The 5,365-nt window shown below is 47.7% G+C and overlaps 1 annotated feature.

The window, feature by feature from the left end:
• Positions 746 to 1,345: an enhancer, noted in NCBI's record as "H3K4me1 hESC enhancer chr4:27092736-27093335 (GRCh37/hg19 assembly coordinates)". NCBI's record gives its function as "activates a minimal SCP1, AML or CMV promoter by ChIP-STARR-seq in primed H9 embryonic stem cells {active_cell/tissue: H9 hESC(primed)}" and the evidence as "EXISTENCE:reporter gene assay evidence [ECO:0000049][PMID:30033119]".

The raw sequence follows: 5,365 nt of genomic DNA on the forward strand, positions 1-5,365 counted from the left end.
GAGGGGCGTTTGGGAGAGTGGTGAGCAAGCGGGTAATCTGGAGGCACCGAGAGGACAGGCATCTCCTGGAAATATTTCTGTTGGCGTTCTGCACAGAGAGAAAATTTTGCATTAGGGATGCTTTCATCTTTTTAAAACCACCAAAGGCTTTCCTCCTACTTGATTATTGTCATCATGTGGTGTCATTTTGCATTTGTTAAGGCACCTGGTGGGGTGGCTGCACAGAAACTTCCCTCAGCTGTGTTCCTGGCAAAGAGGGGATGCTACTCAACTCCCTGGTAGCTTTGCTAAAGCAAACGTAACCACCTGCAGGATAATGGGAATGTTGTGCTCCTTATTTTTAGCAAGCAGAGCCGAATGCGGTAAGCAAAGGGTGATAAATACCCCTTTACACTAAACGTTTTACAATAATGAAAAAGCAACCTCTGTCTTAAAATTGGCCATTCTTTTTCATGTAATTTTTTCCCCCTTAGAGCCGACAAATTGACTAAGTCAGGGTGGCAGACGTGGCTTTCACCAGCCCTGGATAGATTTAACGGGGGCTCACCCACTGGGGCATGCAGACTTTCTGGCTGCGATCTTCTGTACACATTTATCAGGAGGCAGACGCGGGGAAATGTTGCTGGCAGGAAGCAGCCCCAGAGAAAGTATTCACCTTTGTGAGTAAATAATTCCCAGCCCTGAGAGCGGCTGGGATATAATACAAAGCCCCCACTGGTGGTCTCCTGTGGGCTGGTTCATTTACACTGATTTTACTGCTCATTACGATTAAGGAGGTGCCGGGGCCTCTCTGACCTCAGGGGTGGAGTGCATGAAGGGTGGCCCCACGCCCCCCGAACTTAGTGGTCTCGTTGTGGGGCCACTGTGCTGGGGTCCCAGAAGGGCTGGAGTGGGTGGGCATACACATGTGTGTATTTGCTCAGGTGGGCTTCATTTTTCTGCACAGGGATGAGTATATATTTGCCTGGCTGACATTTAAACTGATTCTTACTCTGATGGGTGAGACCATACGTTCCATTGCAAGGGAAGCTCACCTGGCCAATGCTCCCCCACTTTTTACAATTTAACAGTTTTAGTCTTATAGAAATTCAGCAGAAAATACAGAGATTGCAGCATATTCTCCGTGGCCTCTTCTCTCCAGTTTCCCCTATTATTTTTGTTTTGTTTTTGAGAAGGATCTCACTCTGTCGCATAGGCTGGAGTGCAGTGGCAGGATCACGGCTCACTGCAGCCTCGACCTTCTGTGCTCAAGGTATCCTCCCACCTCAGCCTCCTGAGTAGCTGGGACCACAGGTGTGTGCCACCATGCCTGGCTAATTTTTTGATTTTTTGTAGAGATGGGGTCTCACTATGCTGGCCAGGCTGGTCTTGAACTCCTGGGCTCAAGTGATCCTCCTGCTTTTTTTTTTGTAGATATGGGGTCTCACTGTGTTGCCCAGGCTGGTCTTGAACTCCTGGGGTCAAGCAATCCTCACTTTCAGTCTCCAGAAGTGCTGGGATTAGCGATGTGAGCCACTGCAGCTGGCACTCCTACTGTTAATATCTTGCCTTGGTGTGGGATGTTTGTTACAGTTGATGAACCCATATTAGTACAGTAGTAGTAACTAAAATTATGTTAGAGTTCACTCTGTGTGTTGTACAGTTCCATAGTTCTTATCAAATGTGTGATGTCTTTTATCCAGCATTCCATACAGAAACGAGGGACCTCCTGAGAGCAGGGAGCTGAGCACCTCCGCCAAGCAGCACATTGGTTCTGGCTGGAGCCCTTGTCTGCTGGGTGCCAAGTGTCAGAGAACAATGACGCTTCTCTCTGTGGGGTGGGGAAAGAGCAGAGCTGGCCTCAGACACAAAGAGTGCTGTCACTAACCCCTGAGAGATGTCACTAGGAGAGGTGTGGAATTCCCTATGAAACAAGTAGGGAGGCTTTCTGTCCTCTCATCACCCAGTGAAATGTCCCTGTCCATCAACCTTTGTGTTCCCAGGTGTCTTGGGGTATTCTTGTGTATTCACATGGGGTCTTGGATGATGCCAGGCAGTGCTGTGGCATGGACAGGTGTCACTCTGGCTGGACAGTCAGTGGCTAGGGATCTGGCCTCTCCTGCATTGACAAGAGCCGTAGGGCCTGTGGAGCCAGTGGTCATCGACAGCAGTGAGTTCTCGGTTTCCATGTGGCCACTGGGCCTCCTCTGCAAAGCCTCTGCAGTGGTCATTCTCTGGATCCCCTTACTCAGCTTTTCTTGGGTAGAGACTCCTCTTTTTTCTTGGGTGACAATCTCAAATCAGTTGTCAAAGCGTGTATGTTCTAGGCTGTTGCTCCACCACCGAGGCCTCTTTAGACATTGTCCCTCCATCCTCCAAGAAGTTCTAGTCCCTTTTTCTTTCTCAGTGGAGTCCCCAAGAAGGGACAAAGCTGATGGATTTTGGGGGCAGGGGCAGTTGACAGAGCTGATAGAAACTGAGAGTCTTTTTTAATATTGAGACTTCTTGATGCGTTGCTCAGGCCTTTGGTCAAGACAAAAACACCACAACTTATGCTACTGGTGCTTGCAGGAAAAATAGAAAGGGGATGTCCCATGCTGGGGATACAGAAGAATGTAGAGCATATTGGCTTGAAGAGGCAATTATAGCATGACAGCAAGAGGGGAGCAGCAGAGGTGCTGGCTCAGGGGTCTGAAGTGAGGGCTGCCAAGCAGCAGCAGGGGCTGCTTTTTGTAACATGGAAAGGTTCCCTACAGGCTCTCAGGAATACAATGAGAGAGGAAGCTCATAAAAGTCATAGCAGAGGGGTCAGACTGCATTAGATGAGTATCGAAATGTTATTCCTGAAGTCTGGGGAACGTTGTATGCCTGTTTCACTGATGGCATTTAAACTGAGGTTCAGAGATGTTATGCAAACAATCAAAGACACATACTGCAAAGACCATGTGCTGAGATTCAAACCCAGAACTTTTGGCTTCCTTAGCCTCTGGTTTTCCCATTACATCTTGATGGCTTCTTGCAGCTGGCTGGGATAAACAGAGGCGGTAGAATGATTGTTAGGCTTTAAAAAGAGTTAATGGCTTCCAGCTTCATCCATCCTCCTCAGCAAACTAACACAGGAAGAGAAAACCAAACACTGCATGTTGTTGCTCATAAGTAGGAGTTGAACAATGAGAACGCATGGACACAGGGAGGGGAGCAACACACACTGGGGCCTGTTGCAGGGTGGGGGGTGAGGGGAGGGAGCTTAGAGAACGGGTCAATAGTTGCAGCAAACCACCATGGCACAAGTATACCTATGTAACAAACCTGCACATTCTGCACATGTATCCTGGAACTTAAAATAAATATTAAAAAAATACAAAAAAAGAGATAATTGAATGAGCAATGGTACAGAAGGAGTATGTGATAAAAACAGCCAACATTTGCTTCACCCTTCATCTAATCCTCAAAACAACTCAATAATTTATTATGATGACTAGCATCATCTTCATTTTAATGTGAGAAAGCTGAGTTTCAGATAAGTGAAATAACTTGCCCAAAGTTGAGTGGGTCTAGAACCTTACTCTGAGCTACTCCCAGACCTGGTCAGGGCTGCAATTTATCAGTAAATGTATCTGTTGACTGCGCCCCACTGCACATGGGGGACCCCCCAGCCAGACACCTGCAAACACTCTTAAATTTCATCCTCACCCTCAACTCTGTGAGGGAAGGTATATTTACTCCAGTTTAACAGATAAAGGAATTGAATCTCAGAGAAGTCAAACAACTTATCCCTGGCCACGCAGCTAATAGGTGGCAGAGCTGGGGCTTGACCCCGGATCTTTCTGACATAATACAATCTTGTGCTTTTCCTCCTATATTGATTGTTTCCACACCTGGAAATAACATCTGAACTACCCAGGGAGCATTTATAAAATATAGATTCTTAAGTCTCATCCCCAGAGATGGCTGGGGCAGGCCTGGGAATCAGCATTTTGCAGAAGCCTTTCAGTAACAGGAACTGCTGCCCCACGGCACAGTGCAATGAGTGTGGCGATCCTAAGGCCAGAGGAAGGCTGCAGTTGCCCTGGGCAGGGACCGTGCTCCTGAGAGAGGGTGGGAAGTACAACCCTTCACATTCTTGGCACCTCTGACATTGATTTGCTGTGTGACTGCTGATCAGACAACCATACCATTGGTCGTTTGATTTTCAGACATATAAGATTAGCAGCTAATGCAGGTGTTTCCTTTATTCGATTCTGATATGGAAAGGAGCGACCAAAACAAAAGTCTCATCTGCAGAATGTTTAGATGGCTCTAGACAGTGTGGCCAAGAAGAGGGGCTGGTGTTGGCAGAACCGGCCCACAGACAGGACAGAGGAATTCATGGTGAGTTACCTCCCTGTCTGGTCCTTAACTTCCATGTCTGTAATGTGAGTACGTTGAATGATTAGCACTTCTTAGAGCATGATCTGGAACTTCCTGCACCTAAAACACATACACAGCTTGTTAAAAATGCAGATTGCATTCACTAGAATGTAAGCTCCACAACAGCAAAGGGCTATTTGTTCAATACCATGTCCCTAGGCCCAGAAACAGAGCTTGGCATGTAGTAGGAACTTATTAAATATTTGCTGAACGATTGAATGGAATCTTGGAAACCAGCCCAGGCCTACTGAATTAGCGTCTCTACATGGGGCTAGGAATCTGGGAATCTTTCTGAAGAGCTGCAGGTGATTCTTAAGAGCATTAGCATTTGGGAACCACTGAAACTGGTAGTTGCCACCATTTTTCTGGTTTGACCTTGGACATTCCCTTGGCTTGTTGCCATATCCAACCTACAGCTGAATCCTATGGCAATTTCTCTTAAAAGGGAGAAAAAGAGATAACTGTTGAGAAGCTCTTGTTTTTATATGAAGTCATCAGGAGGGTTTCCCACCAGCCTCTCCTTCTCCATCCTGCAAAGAACAAGGGGAGTGTCCAGGCCTGAGACCTGTGGTGATGGAACAGACGGAGGCCAGGAAATGCTGAGGACAGATGCATGGCTAGGACCTCAGCCTGTGTGGTGCGCCTGTGGCCCCTGGGCTGTTCCCAGCAGCCTCATCAGTATGAGGTGCATTCCCTGGGAGGCACACTGCCCTCCTGAGCATTGCATTCTGGTTGGGGAGGAACCCATACTGCAGCACTACTTTGTGGCCCGTCCCCATTTATCAAATTACCCAGATTATTTGAGTTGACGTGGACAGCTGAATCCTCTTGTGAGCTGCTTACCTGGGAAGCCACTTTAGTGACTTGCCACAGGGGCTCAGGGGATAGGGCATACCGCATGTCCTTCCCTTCTGAATGGCCAGTGGCTTCTGTCCTCCTGCCTGCAGGAGGAGGACCCCAAGGGAACCCAAAGCAC

The sequence above is a fragment of the Homo sapiens genome, chromosome 4 (genome assembly GCF_000001405.40).
Source record: "Homo sapiens chromosome 4, GRCh38.p14 Primary Assembly".
Classification (NCBI taxonomy): Eukaryota; Metazoa; Chordata; class Mammalia; order Primates; family Hominidae; genus Homo; species Homo sapiens.